The 23596-nt window shown below is 39.8% G+C and overlaps 1 protein-coding gene, 2 long non-coding RNA genes and 1 pseudogene across 16 annotated transcripts in view, besides 2 other annotated features; 2 read left to right on the forward strand and 2 right to left on the reverse strand.

Moving 5' to 3' along the window:
- Positions 1-8398, reverse strand: part of LOC107984015 (uncharacterized) — a 49066-nt gene extending 40668 nt beyond the window's left edge. For both annotated transcript variants that reach the window (XR_001743980.1, XR_001743981.1), the window contains exon 1: positions 8242-8398. This is a non-coding gene — a long non-coding RNA (uncharacterized LOC107984015). The remainder of the gene's footprint in view (positions 1-8241) is intronic.
- PHACTR1 (phosphatase and actin regulator 1) overlaps positions 1-23596 on the forward strand; it is a 571071-nt gene that overhangs the window by 19118 nt on the left and 528357 nt on the right. For all 13 annotated transcript variants that reach the window (XM_005248934.4, NM_030948.6, XM_047418373.1 and 10 more), the window contains one exon: positions 13760-13906. In XM_005248934.4, the coding sequence (XP_005248991.1) occupies positions 13760-13906 (147 nt within the window). The remainder of the gene's footprint in view (positions 1-13759; positions 13907-23596) is intronic.
- LOC124901503 (uncharacterized) lies at positions 916-1065 on the forward strand (annotated as a pseudogene).
- Positions 9021-11574, reverse strand: LOC105374935 (uncharacterized). The gene is made up of 3 exons (XR_001743982.1): positions 11412-11574; positions 9256-9404; positions 9021-9153 (listed from the first exon to the last, which is right to left on the reverse strand). It is a non-coding gene; the product is annotated as an uncharacterized LOC105374935 (long non-coding RNA).
- Positions 13071-13755: an enhancer, noted in NCBI's record as "H3K4me1 hESC enhancer chr6:12749187-12749871 (GRCh37/hg19 assembly coordinates)". NCBI's record gives its function as "activates a minimal SCP1, AML or CMV promoter by ChIP-STARR-seq in primed H9 embryonic stem cells {active_cell/tissue: H9 hESC(primed)}" and the evidence as "EXISTENCE:reporter gene assay evidence [ECO:0000049][PMID:30033119]".
- Positions 13881-14382: an enhancer, noted in NCBI's record as "H3K4me1 hESC enhancer chr6:12749997-12750498 (GRCh37/hg19 assembly coordinates)". NCBI's record gives its function as "activates a minimal SCP1, AML or CMV promoter by ChIP-STARR-seq in naive H9 embryonic stem cells {active_cell/tissue: H9 hESC(naive)}" and the evidence as "EXISTENCE:reporter gene assay evidence [ECO:0000049][PMID:30033119]".

The raw sequence follows: 23596 nt of genomic DNA on the forward strand, positions 1-23596 counted from the left end.
ACACAGTAGAGCTGGAACCCTGAGCTGCAATAGTAGAAACAAGGCAGCCACCTCCTCTCCCTGTGTAGCCCACAGAATCAGCCACATACAAAAGGGAACAAATATCAGAACTTTGTGTAGTGGACAGCTCCATTAATGACAAGTTTAAGCAGCGAGAACTGAGATGTACTAATAACATTTCCTCAGATGGTTTGTTTTCTAGCAAAGTATTCATATGCATAGAAAAAGAAAAATGTTCCAGGATCTATGTACTAAATTTAGTTGTAATAAAAAGTCCAAAAAACTTTTTGGTATATTTTTGTGAAACCTATTTAAGATTAGCAAGTTATTACTGAAAGTTGGGTTATTATAGTTAATGATATTCATCCCCATCATTTACATTTTGTAGCTTTTCATGAATGATTTTCAATATTGCCACTATAATTAGTGATGTTGTACTGGGTTTAATTGTGAGGTGTAAGAGTTCTTATATTTCTAACTCATGTTAGATGTGCAAAATGGTGAGATATAATTTATCTATACAACCCAGATTCTAAATCTGCCTGACTATAATATACCAGAATCAATACAAAAATTCAAAGACTGCCAGTAAGTCTAGGACATATTACCCTTAATATCAATACTGTCCACAGTATTATCAATCTGTGGGCAATATCTATGGGCAAATATTAATATCAATATTTGTCCACAGCCTGTGGGACTATCTGACAATGATAATATTTCAGAAAAACTTAAAAGTAAGGATGGGGCATCATCTCTAACCTTTGGAAACTCTCCTAAATAGAAAAGAATAAACATGTTTTTTTACAATCACTTTTTAACTTAAAAAATAATAATTTAAAAATACAAAAATTTGCAAAAACGATATAGTACAAAGAATACATATGTACTCTTCTCAGATTCACCTATTAAAAAATTGCTTCTTGGCCTTTTGGCTAAGATCAAGTGTGGATTCACCTATTAATAACGTTTTACTCCATTTGCTCTCTCTTGTCTCTATTGATCTATTCGTCTAGAGAGGAGTGTGTCTGTGTGCGTATCTGTGTGTACATACGCACATAAAATATATACACACATATACACTCATTTTTACACCGTGTGTGTATATATGTATATGTATATACATATACATATATATACCTTACCCATATATACACACACATTCACAGGTTTCTTAACAATGGGGATATATTCTGAAAAATGTGTCATTAGGCAATTTTGTCATTGTATGAACATCACAGTGTACTTACACAAACCTAGATGATATAGACTACTACACACCTAGGCTATATGGTACAGCCTATTGCTCTAGGCTACTAACTTGCACAGCACGTTTTTGTATTGAATAGCTTAGACAACTGCAGCACAATGCTATTTGTGTATCTAAATATAGAAAAGGTACTGTAAAACTATAGTATAGTTATAGGACCACCATTGTATATGTGATCCATCATTGACCAAAATGCCATTATGTGGCACATGATGGTATATATACAGAGGAGATATTGTTTTATACACACACACACACACACACACGCATGCACACATATGTGTCCAGAGAGATGAGGGAGGAAATATATATGTATGATTGCGTGTGTGTATTTTTATATGTGATTTTATATATGGCTTTATATATATATATACATCTGATTTTTTCTGAACCATCAAAATCCTTTATTCCTAATACTTTACTGTGTATTTCTTTCTTTCTTTCTTTTTTTTTTTTAAGAGACAGGGTCTCTCTCTGTCACTCAGGCTGGAATGCAGTGGTATGATGATGGCTCACTGCAGCCTCAAAGTTCTGGGCTCAAGCGATCCTCTTGCCTCAGTTTCCTAAGTAGCTGGGACTACAGGCGTGTGCCACCAAGCCCAGCTAATTTTTAAAATTTTTTATAGAAACAAAGTTTCATTATGTTGTACAGGCTGGTCTCAAACTCCTGGCCTAAAGTGATCCTCCCTCAAAATGCTGAGATTATAGGCATGAGTCACCATGCCTGGCCCATTTCTTAACAGTGGGAATAGTGTCTTCCATAACCACAGCGCATCTATCCCCTGAAATAAATTTCACACTGATACTTTAATTTAATCTGCTCCTTGTATTTCAATTTTGTCAGTTGACCCAAAAATGTCCTTTAAAGCACTTTCCTCCTCCAGGACAGGAACTAGTCTAGGGTCAATTCAGTCTAAGGTTAGAATCCAGTACTGGTCTAGGGGCTGTCTTCTTTTGCCTTCTTTAATCTGGAATAATTTCACACCCTTAATTTGTCTTTAAAAACACTGGCATTTGTGAAAAATATAGTTTCCTTTCCCTTTAATTTTGTCTAACATTTTCTCATGATTAGACTTATGTTTATGCATTCTAGTCTGGGGTGCTCCAAAGGTGGTTATATATTTCCCTAGACATCACTTCTGGAGGCATCCAATGTCCACTCGTCCCTCGATGGTGATGATAATTTTAATTGCTCGTGAAGGTGCTGTCCCCTTTCTAGTTTGAAACTAGTAAGTGTATGGGGGGAAACTTTAAGGCCATGAAAATATCCCACCCATCATTAAAAATTTTCCCCTAGAGTTAGCATCCCTTATCAGTTCGTGCTTGATCTTTACTATGATGGCTGCAAACTGATGATTTTTCAACTTCTGGCACTTCCTCCACGTTGACGAGCCAGCTCTCAGCATTCTAGTATAAGCAGGAGCCAGGCTGGGCATGGTGGCTCACTCCTGTAATCCTAGCACTTTGGGAGGCCGAGGCAGGCTGATCACTTGAGGTCAGGAGTTGGAGACCAGCCTGGCCAACATGGTGAAACCCTGTCTCTACCAAAAATACAAAAATTAGCCAGACGTCATGGTGTGCGCTTGTAGTCCCGGCTACTCAAGTGGGCTGAGGCAGGAGAATCCCCTTGAACCTGGGAGGCGGAAGTTGCAGTGAGCCGAGATCACGCCACTGCACTCCAGCCTGGGCGACAAGAGTGAAACTCCATCTCAAAAACAAAAACAAACAAACAAAACCAAGAGCCTTCCCCTATTCTGAATTTATTATATTATTTATGTTTTTTAAACCAGTTTTAATCTATCCATTTATTATCAAAACTAATGAGTACCCATATATAATGGTTTATTATTCACTAGTGGACTTCATTGTTTTTGTGTTCAAATTGTCCCAGATTTGGCCCATATAAGCCCCTTCAAACTGAGTGCTGCGACACTCTTGTGACATGTCCTCTGCATTTTGGGGAATGCTGTTTTAACAAGACATAGTAAGGCTTAACTGTCCACAGCAAGAAGCCCACTGTCATCATTCTTTTCTTATGCCTTCATATACTTCCAACTCAGTTATCTGCTGTTCTGTTGTTATTTTTAATGCGGCACAAAATGCTGGGACCTGAATCTTTAAAAGATCATCATTATCAGAAATAGACAGGATGATAGCCTAAAAATAAGGGCGAGACACACCAAAAAAAGACAGAATTTTGAAATAATAAAATGCTGATATGTATAAAGACAGCCCAAGTCATCAATACATTATTTTAATGGATTAATTAAATTTCATATTTATTAATACTGTGGTTTTCTAAGTATTAGTACTTATCTTAAATGCGGTAATTCTCAAACTGATTTCTGCATCTTAATAAGCTAGAAGCTTTTTATAAATAAATAAATAAATTTATTTATTTTTGAGACAGGGTCTCACTCTGTTGCCCAGGCTAGAGTGCAGTGGCATGAAAATGGCTCACTGCAGACTCAGCCTCTTGGTACAAGCGATCCTCCCGTCTCAGCCTCACCAGTAACTTGACCACAGGCACGTACCACCATGCCCAGCTAATGTTTAAATTTTGTAGAGATGGAGTGTTGCAATGTTGCCCAAGCAGGTCTCAAACTCCTGGGCTCAAGCAATCATCCTGCCATAGCCTCCCAAAGTAAATCCAAAGGGATTACAGACATGGGCCACTTTACTGGGCCTTATTTTTTAGTGATATATAACATGTGTAGAGCAACATGCACAAATATAAAACGTGTGACTTGAACTTTTACAAAAGTTATCACCTTTTCTAAAAAGTACAACCACGACCCAAATCAACATACAATTCCCTACATTTCAAAAGATTTCCTTGTGCTCCGTCCAAGACATCTCTCTCACCAACCTTCTATTATGGTATATGAGATTTGCTTATTCTTGAACTTTGTGTAAATGGAATCATGTGGTATGTAGTCTTTCAGGGCTGGCATCTTTTGTTCGACATCATATCTAAGAGATTCGTCCTTGTTGCTGCATGTAGCAGTAGTTTTTTTTTTATGTCTGACAATGTATGAAGACATTACAATTATGTTTATATATTTTCCTGTTGATGGATTGTTCCCAGTTTGGGGTCATTATGAATAAATCTGCTGTGGACATGCTGGTCCATGTCATGGGTCTAGTATGTTTACCCATGTTTATGTAAACAAAGTCTTCCAAGGTGATCTTTACAAGTGATGTTCCCATCAGCATTGCATGGATGCTCCAGTTCCTCCTTATTCTCACCAGTACTGGCATTAAGTGATTTTAAAATTTTAGCCAGATTATAGCCTCATTGAGGCTATAATTTGAATCTACCTCTAAGTAATGTCGCTGAGTATCTTTTCATATGCTTATTTGAACATTTGAAAATCATTTTTTGTATTAAGTGTCTGTTCAAGTTTTTGGTCCATTTAAAAAAAATTGAGTTGAGCTATCTTTTTGTTGCTGTTTAAGGAGATCTTTTACATATTCTGGTTATAAGTCCTTTGTTAAATATGTATTGAAAATATCTTCTCCCAGTCTGTGGCCTGCTTTTCCAATCTCCTAAAGGTGTCTTTCTCATTTTTTTTCTTTTTTTTAAGTAGGCATGTAGTTTATTTTTACCAAGTTCTTGAATATATAAACAGAAAGATGCTTGTAATATTCTCTTATTCTCTTATATCCTTTTAATAGTTTTAGGATCCATAGTGATAACTCCTATTTAATTCCTGATATTGATGATTCATATCTTTTTTTAATTTTACAAGTCTTGCTGGAGCTTAATTAATCATTGATTTTTTTCTTTGGAAAAATGATATTTTTGTTTCATTTATTTTTCAACTCCTAAAATTTTTAATTTCCTTGACCTGCTTTTATCCTTATTAACTCTTACCTCCCGTTTGCTTTAGATTTATTTTTTCTTCTTCTAAGTTTCTAAGATAGAAACTTACATTATTGATTTGAAATATTTTCTCTTATCTAAATAAACATTTAGTGCAATAAATGTCCCAACCAGCACTGTTCATCTCACATACTTTAATATGTTACATTTTTAGTGGTGTCTTATGATGAACAGAAGTTCTTAATTTTAATGGTGTCAGCATGTCTATCTATTCTTTTGTGATTAGTGATTTTTACGCCCTGCTTAAAAATTTTTTGAAGGTCATAAAAATATTCTTTTATGAAAAATTTTTCTTTTAGAAATTTTATTATTATTAACCTTTAATAATATTTTGTTATTAACCTTTAATTTTATTATTAACCTTTCATATTTAAGTCCATGATCCATTTGGAATTTAATATTGTGTGAGGCAGGGATCAAGGTTTATTTTCTTCCACCATATATATACTTGTGTAACCACAAACTATTTCTTGAAAAGTCCATCCTTTCCCCACTATCTTGTAGTGGGACCCTTGTCATAGCCAAGTGACTGTTCATATCTGTTTGTAGATTCTGTATGCTTTTCTGTTGATCTATTTATCTTACTTTCTTTTTGTGTTCTATGTCTTTATAATAAGTCTTGATATCTTCTACTGTAATCCTCCAACTTTACTCTTATTTGTCAAGATTGTGCTGGTCTTCTCCCTCTGCATTTTCATATACATGTTAGAATCTGCTTGTCAAACTCCAAAAAAAAAAAAAAATCACACACTGAGATTTTGATTGGAATTACATTGAACCCATAGGTCAATTTGACAAGATTGATGCCTTGATAATATGTGTCTTTCAATCCATGAGCACGATTATTGCATATTATCTCACTTTTCACTTACTTAGGTCTTCTTAATCTTTTTCAGTAATGTTTTATAGTTTTTCATGCAGAGGACTTGCTTATCTTTTTTAAAATTTATTGATAGATATTTGATGGTTTTGATGCTATTATAAATGGTACTTTAAATTTTTCATTTTCTAATTTTGCTACTATATAGAAAAAATGATTTGGGGGGGATTTTTTGTCTGTTTTTATAAAGGGAAAGCAAGTTTGTTAAGAAAGCAAAGGAATAAAAGAATGGCTACTGTACTGGCAGAGGCATGGGCCACTCAGCTGCTTATACTTACTGTTACTTCTTGATTATATGCTAAACAAAGGGTGGATTATTCATGAGTTTTCCAGGAAAGGGGTGGGTGGTTCCCAGAGCTTAGGGTTCCTCCCCCTTTTTAGACCATATAGGGTGACTTCTGGATGTTGGTATGGCATCTGTAAACTGTCATGGCTCTGATGGGAGTGTCTTTTAGCACGCTAATTCATTATAATTAGCGCATAATGAGAAGTGAGGACAACCAGAGGTCAATCTGGTTGCCATCTTGGTTTTGGTGGGTTCTGGTTGACTTCTTTACCACAACCTGTTTTATCAGCAAGGTCTTTGTGACCTGTATCTTGTGCCAGCCTCATATCTCTTCCTGTGACTTAGAATGCCTAACTTTCTGGGAATGCAGCCTGGTAGGTCTCAGCCTTATTTTACCCAGCCCTTATTCAAGATGGATTTGTTCTGGTTCAAATGCCTCTGACATTTCCTCCTCCCTTTTTACAAGAGAACCCTTAATCCTAAGGGTTATAGAAAGACAAAGATCCAGCTTCCATAACTGCTTCTGGTTGAATAGGGGTGATGATATTCCTAATTATTAGGGTCTCTGGTACTCAGGGTAGAGAGGAGCTCAGTTACAAAGCATACATATGGCAAGGGTCATTCATAACTCTCAGATCTGGCAAAAGATGATATCTGGAAGAATAATAAGTGTTCAATTTAAGAAAATATTCAGTAAGCTTATCTGGCATTCCTACACAAAGAGTACAACAGCAAATATATTCCACAACAGTAAAGGAAAATTATTCCAAGTAAACTAAATAAGAAGGCTTTCCAGGAACTGGGCAATTGTTGGAACCAACCTGATATGGAGTCACTAGCTGATTCCAATATGTGCCCAGAATTTAGAGTATTAATCCAGATTGTTGCATTACCCATTCCCTTTCGTTTTTGTTTCTTCTGAGCAGCACCCAGAGATTACTTGTTAGTTCACAAGAATAAGCAGGGTTAGTCTAAATTGCAGGAAAAAAAAAAAAAAAACAAACGTAAAAACAACTGATGACACTAGAATCTAATAACAGGTGAACCACAGTTCCTGAAACATAATTTTTCTCTCTCCAGTCTCCCACTTTTGCTAAAGACAAATCATAATAGAACCAATTTGTTTGCAAAAGTAAACCTTAGTCTTATACTTGCCCTGATTATTTGTATAAAGTGCAGCAAGAATAATTACCTTTCACATAGGCTTTTAAATTGGCTTTGATGGAACTTTATTCCATAAAGAAACTCAGATAAGAGTTTTCTAAAGCCAAGTCCAGCCATGGCTTTGTACCATTAAATATCTATATGATTCCTCTCCTCTTGAGGTCCCTAGATAACCTGGGGCTGCTGGGCCTGTCAGAAAGTGTTATTCTTAGGGATCAATGCAACAAGAAGAGCTAACTATCTTAAATATATATGCACCCAATATGGGAGCACCCAGATTCATAAAGCAAGTCCTTAGAGACCTACAGAGACTTAGACTACCACACAATAATAATGGGAGACTTTAACACTCCACTGTCAACATTAGACAGATCAACGAGACAGAAAGTTAACAAGGATATCCAGGAATTGAACTCAGCTCTGCACCAAGTGGACCTAATAGACATCTACAGAACTCTCCACCCCAAATCAACAGAATATACATTCTTCTCAGCACCACATCGCACTTATTCCAAAATTGACCACATAGTTGGAAGTAAAGCACTCCTCAGCAAATGTAAAAGAACAGAAATTATAACAAACTGTCTCTCAGACCACAGTGCAATCAAACTAGAACTCAGGATTAAGAAACTCACTCAAAACCGCTCAACTACATGGAAACTGAACAACCTGCTCCTGAATGACTACTGGGTACATCACGAAATGAAGGCAGAAATAAATATGTTCTTTGAAAGAAAATGTTATTCTTTACTTACCATAGGTCAGGAGCCCTGTACAAGTACTGTGTAGACAAGGTATGAGGCCAGTTTTCCCAAGGGGCTTTTATTGGCTCTATAAGTCAAATTTGCTTCCTTAAAGGGAACCACGCCATTCCCATCAAAGCCTTGGCAAAATAACCAGTTTCTCCAATTGTGTCCTGTTGCAAAAGAAAGCAGATTCTCATTGCACTTATGCAAACAAGTATATTGCCATAAGTTAAGAATATTCACAAATAGTTTCCAAATTTTGGAGAAATCAGGAAGAGAGAAAGAAATGTGCTCCAAATTTTGTTCACAGGAGTACACTTTACTCAATTGTTAAAAGCTGTCAATAAAAAGAAAAGTTTCCTTGACTCCAAAATCGGCCAGTCAGTGCTGCAATCTATTTCCTTTGGGTCTGGAGTCTCCTCAATATCATCCCTTCATGTTTCGTAAGGAAGATGTTATCAGAAAGGGGTCCCAATCCAGTCCCCAAGAGAGGGTTCTTGGATTTCACCCAAGAAAGAATTTGAGGCAAATCCATAGAGTAAAGTTAAAGCAAGTTTATTAAGAATCCAAAGGAATAAAAGAATAGCTATTCCATAGGCAGAGCAGCAAAAAAATGATGTTTTATGCTGATATTGTATCCAGTGACATTCTGAAAATTACTTATTTCTAACAGTCTGTGGATTCTTATGAATTCCATAGGTATAAAATCATAACATATTTGACTAACAACAATTTTATTCTTGCCTTCCAATCATTATATCTCTGGAATTTTTTTTTACTTGCCTTACTTCCCTGGCCAGGACCTCCAGTATAATGTTAAATAGAAGTGATGAGAGTGGATAGAGTTGAGAGTCTTTTGAAAATCTAGGTATACAGGTCTCATCTCCTCAAATTCTGATTCAGTAGGTTCAGATTGGGGGCCTGAAAAATAGACATTTTAACAAGTATCGCAAGTGATTCTGATGTAGGAGTGTCCTAGAAACATATTTTGAGTAATATTTTTAAAGGGTAAGGTTTACTTACTTGAAAAATTTTCTTAATGGGGATGGAATATCACATCCTTCTTTCTCCCTCCGCTTCTCACCTCCATCCTCTTCCATAGCAGTTGGATGTATGAAGTGTAATTTTCCTGAGCTCTCTGTTGGGCTGCTTCTTTTTCTTTGGCTGTAGTTCTGGATATAACACACATTTAAGAGTCTACAGTGTTAAAATGTTGACTGGTTTTAGGAAAAGGAAAAGAGAAAATGCCTTCTTCCCAAGTCAGGAGTCATATTTAGAAAGACGCAATCATGGGTGGCAGTGGGGTGGGGAGGGTGCATAAAAACTACATTTAGAAGTCATTGAGGTCACAGTTGAATTCAATGCTTCTGTACAGATGCCTACATCCACATATTCACACATATAAACAATCATGTGGGTGTTGTCACATGATGGAAACAGCATGAGGGGGAAAAATAGATTCTAAAGGATGCAGAGTTATATAAAATAGACTTAAAAAATAGGAAATCACCTGGGTAGAAGTATGGATGCCATGTGGTTTTCTAAATATAATTCATTACAAAGGACCAATGTATTTTCTTAGATTAAGAGACAAAATACACCACAGATATTTATGGAAAGCAGAGATACAAGAATAGCTACAAATAACACTAGAGTATTGGAGTTAGGCAGCGCCTTTAAGATCATGATATCTGACCCTTGCATTTTTATAGTGGAGGTGAATGGGACCCATGCTGGTAGAGTGACTTGCCCAGTGTCACTTGGGTGGGGTAGTAGTACTACTGGCAGTGGCACCCACCATCTTGATGCCTACCCCTAGCGCTCTTCCACTGATGTCATGCAGCCAGATGTTTTATGAAAAGAGGTCATGAATATGAAAGGAGTCCCAGAGACTAAAGAATGTGGAAATATTGGGACAAGCCCTTAAAATGAGTCCTTTGTATAGGGTAACAGGGGATACATGAAAAGGGACTGACTGTGTGGAACTGTTACGAAGACTAAGGAAGGGTGTGAGAAAAGAAAGGCAAAGTAAAAAGAGAATAGAAAAAATTAGATGAAAGACAAAGAAAGTAAATCACAGAAGTCAAGAAATGGAAGATAACAATTAGAAATAAAAATGTGATAAAAGAATTCAAGGCTGGACACAATGGCTCAGGCCTGTAATGCCAACACTTTGGGAGGCTGAATTGGGCGGATTGCTTGAAACCAGGAGTTTGAGACCAGCTACGTCAACATAGCGAAACTCTAGCTCTACAAAAAATATAAAAATTAGCCAGGCTTGGTGGAGGCATGTAGCTGTGGTCCCAGCTACTTAGGAGGTTGAGGTGGAAGGATTGCTTGAGCCTGGGGAGGTGGAGGCTGCAGTGAGTCGAGACTGCATCACTGCACTCCAACCTGGGTGACAGAGTGAGAGCCTGTCTCAAAAAGAATTCAATAACACAGAGATAAATGTAGTATTTCTATGCCCATTTTTGTCAAAAGTTTAGCTATCTGGAATTATTTCAATAATAAAATAGCCTATAATGAAATAATACAAAAGTGCATTTAAACTCCTTTGAAGAAGGATAAAGCTAAAGTGGTAGCAATATTAAGTTCCTAATCCTCTAAAATGTTAAATGAATAAGAAACAGGAATTCAAAGATGTACTTCTCTGAAATGGCAGAGCTAAGTGTAGATATTCCTCCAGATGACGTTATCATTTTTCCAGAGACATGGCTGATGAATGAGAATAGAAAGGAATGGGGAATTCCAAATTCTGAACAATCAAATAGATTGCATTAATTCACAGGAGGCACCATTCATACAGTATTTAGAATTGTTTATTTCCTTACATTTTGCACTTCCTTAAGAACCTGAACCCGAAAGTTGTAATCAATAGATTGGTTTACAGCCTGTTAGTCCTTTAAAAGTATTAACTTTCATAATTCATTTGATGAGCCATATAGGACTCCGCTGCGCCTCTTGGAAGAGGAGGCCTTCACTTTAAAACTATGTTTAACAGTGATAAACGGGAAATAATAATGAGGCATATGTCATAGAACAGTGAATCTGAAAGGTGGCTAATCAGTCAAATATATATACTTAGCAAATCCAAATACTAGTTAAGGGCATAGGATTTGAAATCAGGCATACATGGATTTGGTCCCCAGTTCAGCCACTCATTAGTTATGAGTACTCACAACCCTCCTTCACTTCTTTTCTTTTTTTTCTTCTTCCTTCTTCTCTCCCTCCCTCTCTTCCTTTACTTTATTCAAAAATAGCTGTTCGTCAGCTGTGGTGGCTCATGCTTGTATTCCCAGCAGTTTGAGAGACCCAGACAGGAGGATCCTTTGAGGCCAAGGATCTGAGATCAGCCTGGACAACATACTGAGACCGCATCTCTACAAAAAAGAAAAAAAAATTAGTTGGGCATGGTGGTGCATGCCTGTAATCCTAGCTACTCAGGAGGCTTGGGTGGGAGGATTGCTTGAGCCCAAGGAAGTCAGGACTGTAGTGAGTTAAGGTCATGCCATTGCACTCCAGTCTCAAAACAAACAAAACTTGCTGAAAATTTAATTACTATATGCTGGGTTCATGCCATAAACTAATGAGCTAGTCACTTCACATTTCTGAGAGAGAACAGGAAATGTTTATAGTTAAGAAATTTGTGGTGCGTCACTTAAGCAAAGGTGCAGATACAAAAATGAGCCAGATTTGTTGGGGTGGCTCCAAGCAGACTGGAGGTAAATAATGGGAGATGAGGATGGGAAAGACAGGTTGTAGAGGGCTCTTAATGCCAGCATAAGCAGTTTCAGATTAACACAGAGAACTGGCCAACAATTAGAAATCAGATTAGGGAGATAGCCTAGCAAAGGATGGGATTATTTCAAGAATGATGGATTACTAAGTATTTCAGAGAAGCTAAGAAAGAATTAGTTTTGACTATTAGAAGGACATGGATAGAAGGCTTTTAAAATAACAGAAACCAATGACGGGGATGAAAGGACGAGATTGGAGTGTAAAAACAGAGACTGATGGCCAGGAGTTCCACGGGAAGATTAAACAGAATGGGAAGGAAACATTATGGTACAGATAGAGGAAGCAGCAAGGCCAAAGGCAGGTATATTTTTCCTAAAATGAGTAGTTACTATGCACGTGTGAAGGTAAAAGACCAATGAAGAGAGAAGAAGATTCTAGAATGAGAAAAGGCAAGTGGAGAGTTAGAACTGACCGCTGAAGTGGAGAGGGGGGGCTTGCACAGTCAGATCAGCACTTCCCCTGAGTCCACACTGAGATGCCCTTTGTAGCAGGGAGGGAAGCAAGGTAAGATTTAATCTGTACTCCAGGTGGGCACTTATTAGATAGAAGAGTGGTAAACTCAGGCCACAAAAAGACTAAGTTCCTACAGCTGCAGAAAGACAAACATTAAAGGGTTTAGCCCATCAATAGGTTCAGCAGGAGCATCAAACCATTCTTATTCACACCCCAGAAACCTTTCTAGGTTCTTCTGCTGTGTTACAGGTAGGGTTGCAGGGGGCAGTGCAGGCGTTCAAAGAAATGTAAAGTCCCCTTGATCACCTCTCCTGCAGAAACAATGTTGCCAGGTTGTAGAGGCTACAAGTCCAACCCAAACACTATTATTTGTGACCAAATAAAGAGGAATTCGGTTAAAATGAATGAGTACTTATGTAGAGATAACACAACCCAGAAGTTAGTGGTTAGAAAAGGCCACTCAATTCTGCATGCATATACCTACTTTACATTCAAAATACCAACTCTAGAAACCTTACTACCAAACGGCTCCCAAACTTGTAGACATTTTTCCTCCACTCCCCACCTCTAAGTTGTAAGGGGGCAGATAAGAAAACTTCTGAAGATTTCAGATCTAGTTCTCTTTCTGTTTGAGCTCTTGCCTGGCAGTAAGGGAGTAGAGAGGGCTGGGCTGGGCACAATGCCCTCCTCCATGACCAGCGGGACCAGGGCTTGCACCCCAGAAGTAGTAACTCCACGCACGGAGCTGGGACCGCGGGCGCGGCACGCTCACATAGAGCAGCCTGTGGGTGAAGGAGACCGTAGTGTGCACTTGGGCAGCGTAAGCGCGTTTGGCGGGAGAGGGCACAGTGCTGACTGGGCATCTCTGCGTTGGAGTCGTCCCTTTCGCAAGAGCCTATCTGTGCCAAGGGCTGGAAACTGGGGCTGCAGGCGGGAGGCGGGGTGTCAGCCAAAAGCACTGGCCCCTCGGCCCTGTGGCTGGGAGAGGAGTCTGGGGGAGCCCCGGGCGCCAGCCAGGGATAGCCTGATCTCTGCTCCAGTCCACAGATCCTTAACGGATTTTCTTTCTCTCCCTTCACCCCTTTCTCTCCTTTGCTCTCTTTCTTTCTCTCTCCCTTTTTTTTCCTTTTTCCCTCTCTTTCCCACTCCCTCCCCACCCCTTCCCTTCCTCTCCCCTCCCCCTTCCCCTCCCCCTCCCCCGTGCGCGAGCCTCTTCCTCTCCCCTCCTCCCCCTTCCGCCTCTCTCCCTCTCCCTCCGTCTCCTTCTCCCTCTCAGCTCGCCGGGCGACCCTGCTCCTGCCTCCCACATTAATGGCGGCATCCTCGGAGGATGATATAGACCGGCGGCCCATCCGGAGAGTGCGCTCCAAGAGCGACACGCCGTACCTCGCAGAGGCCAGGATCTCCTTTAACCTGGGGGCAGGTAAGAACGCCCCTGGCGCCGCGCCCCCGCCCCCGCCCTGCTCCCTCCCTCCCCGGCTGTTGAGCCCCCGCCCCTCCCGGGCGTCCTCCCCGCCGCCCCCCGCAGTCGGGCGCTCAGCACTCGCGCTCTTTGTGTCTCCGGTGCGCAGAGGGCGTGTGTGCGAGCTACGGGGTGGGGGAGGGCGGCGCGTGCAGCCCCACATCCGCCCGAGTCCCACGCGGGCTTCCCCGGCACGGGGAGGAGGAAGTGCTGTCAGTGACCACAGTGATCCCGGGAATAACCCGGAGCCCGGGCCGCGCGCCCATGCGCAGGCTGCGGGCGCGGGGTCTGGCGAGGCTCCCCGGGCGAGGTTGGCTGGCGCGGCTACTACGGGGTGGAACTTGTTGGTGACATTCAGACTCTGTTGGCTTTGACGGGTTGACGCCGCCGCTGCGGTGTTGGAGTGGGGAGAGGGGGCGGGGCTGGCCGCCTGGAACGGAACCTTTTCCTTGCACCAAGCAGCTGGGAAGCTACCGTGCTGGTCATAATAGCATGGTCTGGAGAATGCACGTTAGGTGACTTGATGCTGTCCCTGGAACTGGTGCCCAAAGTGGCCCAGATCGAATTAAGTGAAAAGGGTAACTGAGGTACATGAAGGAGAGAAGAAATGAGAAGGGAAGATAGGGAGGAAAGGAAGGAAACGAGGGAAGGCAGTGGGGCGCTAGGGAAGAAAAGAAGGAAGGAGGGAAGGAAGGAAGGAAAGAAGGAGGGAAGGAAGGAAGGGGGGAAGGAAGGGAGGAGGGAGGGGGAAGGAAAGCAACAGAAGGAGGACTGAGGGATTCAGAGTCAAAAAATGCCTCAGTTGAGTCCACTGAAGGTTACTCAATGAGTAAAGTCCAGCATCTACTGTTCCCTCTGCTGCTGCTGCTCCTAACTCGACTCTAGAGTGCCTTACTCGTGTGTGGTCACTATCACTGGGAAGAAGTTGTTCACCACTAACTTCATAGCTCTGCCTTTTCTGAATGACTCCTAAGCTTCCATCCTAGTTTGTTTTCTCTTCCTGTCCAAGGTCCCTTATTATTCTAGCAACTATAATAAAAGTGAGGGCATTTTCCTGAAGACTGCCTTTCAAAATAAGTTATAAAGCAGATGGTAGGTTTTGCTTTAGGAAACTAAACTCTTGGAAATGGGACTAAATCAAACAAAATGTGTGTGTGTGTGTGTGCGCGTGCGTGCGCGTGCATGGTGCATGTGTTAGAGCAAAGAGAACCTTCAGATGATGGGTATTTATGCCCTGTTGAGAAGTTTCGACAAAAGAGAAAACTGCATAGAAAAACAAGATGCACTGACTAAGCAACCATACCCTTATGGCTGGAAGAATGGTAACTGAATGTGCCAGAGTGGCCAACTGCCTTGGAATATAATTTTCCTGTCTTGATGATTTGTGGTTTTAATCATGTATATCTTGTCACTTCTTAAATGTTTGCCTCTGACTTTGGAGCTGAAGACAAGTTTATTTAGAAAGCTTTGGCATTTTCTATGGCATGCTGTAGTAGTCCATGGTTCCCACTTTGGAATTGTTAATCCCCTACTTCTATGTTTCAGATTCAGCGTATGGTTGTGAGGGGTCTCACAAAGGACCGATAATAGTTTCTTTTAGGAGCAAGATTGTTTTCCCAACCAAGTGATATTGGAAATTAGTCTATTGACCCCTTTGCTTAGCCCAGGAGGAACAGAGCCAAAGCAGCAGTTAGTAAATGTTGTTTACCTTCTACTAGTACTTTTATCACAAAACAATAAAATAAAGTGCTAAACAAGAGTTTCAAGTTTCAGCTGCTACTCAATTAATTACTTTGTCACCAGATTAAACCTAGTGACTTGCAATCTTTTATTTTGGTTAAATTGCTCTGGAGTCCAATTTAAAGATTGGCTCAGACAGGACTTATCTATGTTTCATCTGGAAATAAATAAGCCAGACAAGCACTCAGTCCCTTCTATATGTCCCTTAAAATATTCCTAATGTAAAGTGTCAAGAAAGACACCAGTAAGAGAGAAATGCAGAGAGGATATTGTTAAAGGAGGAAGGGCATTAGCAGCCTGGTCTGTACTGCAGTCAGGGGAGCTGTCCTCCCTTGGTGGTGCTGAAGCGAGACAGAGAAGTGACTGTAAGTTGGACAGTGGAGGGATGGGTACTCTTTCCCTCCTGTGATGGAATCCCGAAGAAAATGCATAAGATCAGGCTACCAAAAACTTTTTCATCCCTCTCCACCTACATTTGCTGCCTATTTACTACGCATCACGCCTACTGCTCCGCTGCTCAAATCGGGCGTTTATGCTCTAATTTTGCGCCAACTGCTCACTCCTGGGGCTTGTTTATTTCCAGCTGGTTTCTGGTTGCTTCCCTAACGAAGTAAGATCCACTCACAGATGTGCCTTTCTCCCGCATTTAAGAGTAATTGTAACCCCTGGTTTTAAAAGCAAACAGCCTTGTTTATCTCCTTAAGCAGCAAGTTGTAATTAAACTATTAGTGTTGTTATCAGCATTGCTGAACAGAGAAGCATGCACACTCCCAATAAATTACATAATCTGGGCATAGAGATAATTTTGTTTATGTCTTAACCACAATTTATGAACACTTAAGCAAGTCCTGTGCCCTTTCTTTCCAATCCTGCCCCCAAACAATTACTTATTGTTTATTCTTTCCAGAGAAATTTTTTATTGGCTTAAACTATTTATGTTTAATATTTGCTTTCCCACACCAGTAATTATACATAAACCCATGTTTGATATTTTAGAGGTTTAGCAATGCTTCAAGGAATACATATACATATATTCCTTTTACTTGGCTGTCACTAAATCATTAAACTAATCGTCCAGTTGCCAAATAAAGTGGACTGGGCATTTTGAATACTAATTAAACACTTAAGGATTTTTCAACTACACCCTATCTCCAACAGTACTTAATAATATCATTTCAGAAATAACTCTGCAGCTTGAGTGAAGGATATACTTCTTCACCTACAGTGGCAAGTCAGTCAAAGAATAGCACCAAAATGTGGGTCTTTCATCAATGTATGAAGATGCTAATTTCAAGTTTCAGCTAAAATTGAGAGCATAGATAACAGAAATTTTCTGAACCATGACTTTTATTTTTCTAAGAGTCCTTTTTCTAGGTTTTTAACTTCTGTTCAGCATTTAGTAGACACAAACATTGATAGATGATTGAAGATGTTATCAGTGCAAAAGAAAATTAAGTCAATATATCTGTCGAAGGTTACCCAGACACATCAAAGATTAAAACATTCAAAAAGGGATTTTTCCCCTAAGGAATTCAAATGTGTTAAAAGGACATCCTGGAACAGAAGAGTCTGTTCACACTATTAGTAGCAAGTGTTTCTAATTGTATTCTCACTTAGAATGAACCCATCACTGACATTTATCTTGTAAGAGTGCAGCCTGCCTTATGAGGTCGTTCATTCACTGCATTGCAGTCAGTGCAATGAAGAGTTGCAGCTCATCTGGCAGGTACATTCCCATGGGCTAGTGTATTCTATTTATCTTTAGATTGACAGTATATGGAGGATTACCTGATACATAGAAGCTGCTGAAACTGAAAAACTCTATAATTACATACTAAAGTGAATGAAAGTAAGTAGAAAAATTAAGCCCATCTTATATTTCTTAAAGGGGTGTCAAAAGAAGGAAAGCAAGGCATCCTGATGATTTAGGCACAAAACCATTATTAGGCACTATTGAGAAAAATGTGTCCTTTTCTAATCATAAGGAGGTTTAACTTCTGTTGATATATCAGAATTGCTTTGTATGGGGGAGAATTTAAATTAACAGTATGGTCAACACCAGCATAATTATTCTCTTTGGAAAGCTGAGATCTGTTTTGGTTCTGGATGTCCACCAAGGATAGCTGTTTCTGGCCTTCACTGGTCTCTTTCACCCTTTCAGGCCCAGAGGACAATGGCAGTCAGAACTGGCTTGCTATGGTTTCCTATAAGGATGGATGGGTCTACAAAAAGAAGTTATAAACTAGGTCCCAGGGTACCTCTCTTCCACCCTTATCGCTTAGCTAAATAATGGAGGCCCATGATATAGAGAAGTGGCAGCTCAGAATGTGCCATCATCACTTAGCAATGAGAACTGTCCCTAGGCAAGTTGTAAATATATATATATATATATATATATATATTTTTTTTTTGAGACAGAGTCTCACTCTGTCACCCAGGCTGGAGTGCAGTGGTGCCATCTTGGCTCACTGCAAGTTCCGCTTCCCAGGTTCATGCCATTCTCCTGCCTCAGCCTCCCGAGTAGCTGGGACTACAGGCACCTGCCACCACGCCTGGCTATTTTTTTTTTTTTTTTTTGTATTTTTAGTGGAGATGGGGTTTCACTGTATTAGACAAGATGGTCTCGATCTCCTGACCTCGTGATCCACCTGCCTTGGCCTCCCAAAGTGCTGGGATTACAGGTGTGAGCCAGTGCGCCTGGGCTGGCAAATTGTAAATATTATTGCCATCCTGATCTGAGATTGCTTCACCAACCTAAAGGTTTTGATAGGCATCCTCCTTCACTCTTTTGCTGAAGAATGCCAGTGTGTTCCTCACTATATTTTTTGTTACTGATTGTAAATTGAAGGCAGACCATGTGGGTCTGGCTTTTATTTGGTGGCCCAAACTCTTAAGTATTGCTTCCTGTATTTGGTAGGCAGAATTCAAATGGTGGATCTCACAGCTCACCAGGAGCCTCTAGTGTAGAAGCCTTCCCTCCTTCTGTGCTATATATAGTTAGAGCTAGCTAACCTGATAATCTCATTATGTCATGCATTAAGATGGTACCAGTGAAGATCACCCCAGATAGTGTAATGAATATTTGAAAGGTACAAGGAAGTAAGTACAGTCGGCCTTCGGCATTCATGGGTTCCACATCTGTGGATTCAACCAACCAGGGATGGGACATATTTTTAAAAAATGAATGGCTGCGTCTGTACTGAACATGTAAAGAGTTATTTCATTATTTCCTAAATCATATAACAACTATTTACGTAGCATTTACACTGTATTAGGTATTATAAGTAATCTAGAGATAATTTAAAGTATACAGGAGGATGTGCTTAGGTTATATGCAAATACTACACTATTTTATGTAAAGGATTTGAGTATCCACGCATTTTGTTATTCGCAGGGGATCTTGGAACCAATCTCATGGTTACCAAGGGGTGGCTGTAATTAACACTATGAGTAAATGGGAAGCACTTTCCCATAAATATTTGTGAAACAACTTGAACACAGAATCTATGTTGGGTAATTAGATTTTCTTAGACTCTTTGGTCTGAGCATCATTATTATTTTTAAACATGTAAGTATGGTATTTACAATTACCTTATGGCTACATGGTAAATTACTTTTTTGGTTTGTCTATATATGTCTATATAATTTAATTCTATAAAATCCCACAGAGGCGTGTTTTATAGGAAATATCTGAGGCAAGAGTCAGAAGAATTTGATTCTAATGCATCAATTTCCTAAGACCATGGGCAAGCCATTTAACCTTTTGGGGTTTGATTCACTCAGCTCTAAGATGAGGGTTTTAGATTTAAAGTCTCTGAAGTCCCATTCAATCTAAAAATAACTGACACTTCTAACTCCAGCTGTATTACTGGATACATACTACACCTGATTTTATAGATAGTCTTATTTGTTGTATAAAACATATAAAATAGCTTCATTACAATAAGAATGAAAATATTTGATCACAGCAAAGTTATGGAAATTTTTGAGTTAAAAGAAGAATGAATCTCTATTATATAGGCACATTTATATACAAAATATTAGTTATATTTTTAATTTGAATATTCAGGGATTATTCAAATTGATGATCTCTAGATATTTGTTGTATAATAGAGTAAGATATTAAAGAAATTTTAGCAATAAATGGAGAGTGAGGAAACTAAATACTAATTCGGCTCCTAATTGGCATTTCAAGTCTTTTAACCTGTTCTCCTTTATAATTAAAATTAAACGGGTATGTAAGATCTATATTTCCCCTTTACCCTTTTAGATTACCAGGGAAGGTAAACATGTGGGCAGACCAGCTAAATGGCAGAATCCTACAAAACAAAATATCTCTTTGGAATTCACAGAAAGAAGGATCCTAACCTCTAAGCACTGACCTAGCCATGAAATACAAAGAAACTTCTTTCCCTTTTTCTTCACGTGCATATAAACTGACAGGTTCATCACCTACCAGTCATAATAAATGCGGCAGAGGCACATTAATACATTTTCATACGTAGATTCTAACACTAAAGCAAAAAAAATGTAAAGTTATTTATGGAGTCGCTTTTTGACATATGCAACTTGAATTCATGATCATTATTTAGTGTACAAGAATTAAAATTCAGGTGGGAACAGAAGACAATTTGTAGAGCTTTTTTTCTCCTTGAGTTTATGGGGTGAAAAAGGGGACATACATTACAGCCAATGTCTTGTAAGGGCCTGAAAGAACAGTTGATATAACATTTTCTTCATTGTATGGTACAAGAGAAACTCTAGTGTTTCATATTTTGTTTCTCACTTTCCTTACCCACTTTGGTAGGTGCTAAAGTGGATGTGATTTCGGGGTGGGGGAGTGGGCAGTATTGACATTTTAATTGCTTTAATTTACAAGTCTTCTATATAATGAAGGGTAGTTAAATAAAAGACAAAATCAATTTTATGGCCTTGTTGAATGATGACAGATTAGCATGACTTTCTACACAGTTACTGAAGGACAACAGGAATAATATCACACTAGTAGTTGTTTAACATTTGTGAATGTAAGTGCGGTGTAAAAGCCTGTAGGCTTTCTATTGATCCTTGTTGCCACATTTGTATACATTAAACTAGCAATTCAGCAGCAGAATCTTTGATAGCAAATACTTGGGCTGTAACTGTAGATGAGACTTTAATATACATCTTGGTTTTGAGATAATTCTGAACTTTATCAATATGTTCATTTGCCATTTGTAGACATGGAAAGGCCATTATTGCCAGATCTCTATCAACCAAACACTAGGTGGTCGAATATTAAATCATGGTTTAATCAGAGGTACAGAAAAACCTGTATTATTCGTGAGTTTCTCTCTTATTCCACCTGGGCCCTTTTTTAGACCGTTTTTTAGGCACTTGAGATACATCAGTGATCAAAACAAATAGCATCTTACTTTCATGAATTTTTACTACCAAAAGTGGATTATGAGCAAGAAACGTTAGATATATCAGTAAATTGTATTGTATGTTATAAGTCAATGTGTTAAGACAAAAATGAATAAGGCAGACTAAGAGGGTACGGCATATGGGAGCAGGAAGAGGAGAGGATTTCAAGATAGACAACATGGAGGAGAAGGGCTTTGAACACAGTTCTTCAGTGCGGGTAAAAGAATGAACAATGCCCATATGGGGTGGGGAGCAGAGTGAGAGAGAGCTGAGGACAAGCAAGTGAAAAGGACCTAAACTAGAGTGTTCCTGGCATGGCAAGGAGACCGGTGTGGCTGGGGAGGAGTAAGGAAGGGAGACGAAGAGGGGGATTGAGAAGGAATGGGGACTAGAAAAGATTTGGTGGACCTTGCAAAGACTTTGACTTTACTCTCAGTGAAGTGTGGAGCACTGCAGGGATTTGCGCATAGGAGTAACACCGTCTGACAGATTTTTTAAAGGATCACTGGGGCTGTTGAGTTCAGAACAGACTAGAGAGGGGCACCGAAGAAGCAGAGAAGCCAGTTTGGAGGCTATGAACGGTGGTGGCTCATCAGCGTGGTACAGCAGAAACAGTGGAAAGTGGTAAAGGTCCTTGTGTATTTGAAGATACAGCCAGTATGCGTTCATGATGGATTGAATGTAGGTTGTGAGAGGAGAAGAGCAAGCAGTAATTCATAGGTTTCACCTGAGCAGTAGGAGGGATAGAACGATCATTTGGGGGCACGGAGGATTGGTCAGGAGCTCAGAGAAAGACATGTCAAGTGTAAGACCTCTATCAGACATCCAAGTGGCTACATTTAAAAAGCAGTTATGGCCAGGTGTGGTGGCTTACACCTCTAATTCTAGCACCTTAGGAGGCCAAGGTGGGCGGATCACCTGAGGTCAGGAGTTCGAGACGAGCCTGGCCAACACGGTGAAACCCCGTCTCTACTAAAATACAAAAAATCAGTCTGACGTGGTGGTGTGTACCTGCAGTCCCAGCTCCTCTGGAGGCTGAGGCAGGATAATTGCTTGAACCCGAGAGGCGGAGGTTACAGTGAGCCGAGGTCAAGCCACTGCACTCCAGCCTGGGAGACAAAGTGAAACTCTGTCTCAAAAAAAATGAAAAAGCAGTTATGCAAGTCACAGGTTAAAAATGAGGTCTGGGCTGGGGGCAGTGGCTCACACCTGTAATCCAAGCACTTTGGGAGGCTGAGGCAGGCAGATTACAAGGTCAGGAATTCGAGACCAGCCTGACCAACATGGTGAAACTCAGTCTCTACTAAAAATCCAAAAGTTAGCCGGTGTGGGGGCACACACCTGTAGTCACAGCTACTCGGGAGGCTGAGGCAGGAGAATTGCTTGAACCCAGGAGGCGGAGGTGAGCAGAGACCATGTGAGCAGAGACCCAGTGAGCAGAGACCACGCCATTGCCCTCCAGCCTGGGTGAAAGAGCGAGACTCTCTTTCTAAAAAAAAAAAAAAAAAAAAGGGCCCAGAGATAAATATTTGACATTATAAGCATTTTCTTATTTATTCTCACAATGACCCCATCAGATTGACATCATTATTATTATCCTAATTTTATCCACGTGGAAATAAATCACAGAGAAGTTACATGACATAGTGAAGGTACTACAGCTAATAAGAGAAAGAACTGGAATTTGGATTCTGTTTCATATGACTTCAAAACCTGTATACTTAATAGACATGATTTACCACAAGACAGCAAGCTTACATTACTAGCTTTTCTATGGGGTCACATTTAAAGCTGGACATTGCTAAAGGAAAGAAGAGATGGAACTAGGAATGTATCCTACCCTAGTATTAAAAAAAGAAAATTGGGGCCAGGCACAGTGGCTCACGCCTGTGATCCTTGCGTTTTGGGAGGCTGAGGCGGGTGGATCACTTGAGGTCAGGAGTTCGAGACCAGCCTAGCCAACATGGTGAAACCCTGTCTCTACTGAAAATTCAAAAAATTAGCCAGGCATGGTGGCACATGCCTGTAATCTCAGCTACTGGGGAGGCTGAGGCAGGAGAATCGCTTGAACCTGGGAGGCAGAGGTTGCGGTGAGCCAAGATCATGCCATTGCACTCCAGCTGGGTGAAGAAGCAAGACTCCACCTCAAAAAAAAAAAAAAAAAAAAAAAGAATGGCTGGAACTCACTGTGAGAAATGCACTTTATGGCACCCCACATAACACACATACATATTTATTATAATTGAAATAAAATATTCTCCAAAATACACTTAAGGTGCAAATTACCCTGATGTTTTCTATGTTATCCTATCCCATCCCTTGCCACTCCACTCCACTCTAATATATTTTTGTTACAAAAATGCGAATTATGACCTACCTAAATGACTTTACAACCTACAATTTGAAAAACATTTACTTAATTGGTGGATTTCTCGGGGCTAATCCTAAACTCAGAAAAGGCATTTGCAAAAAAAAAAAAAATCCTACTTTGGTACTAAATGGCTG

This window comes from Homo sapiens, chromosome 6 (genome assembly GCF_000001405.40).
Source record: "Homo sapiens chromosome 6, GRCh38.p14 Primary Assembly".
Taxonomy (NCBI): Eukaryota; Metazoa; Chordata; class Mammalia; order Primates; family Hominidae; genus Homo; species Homo sapiens.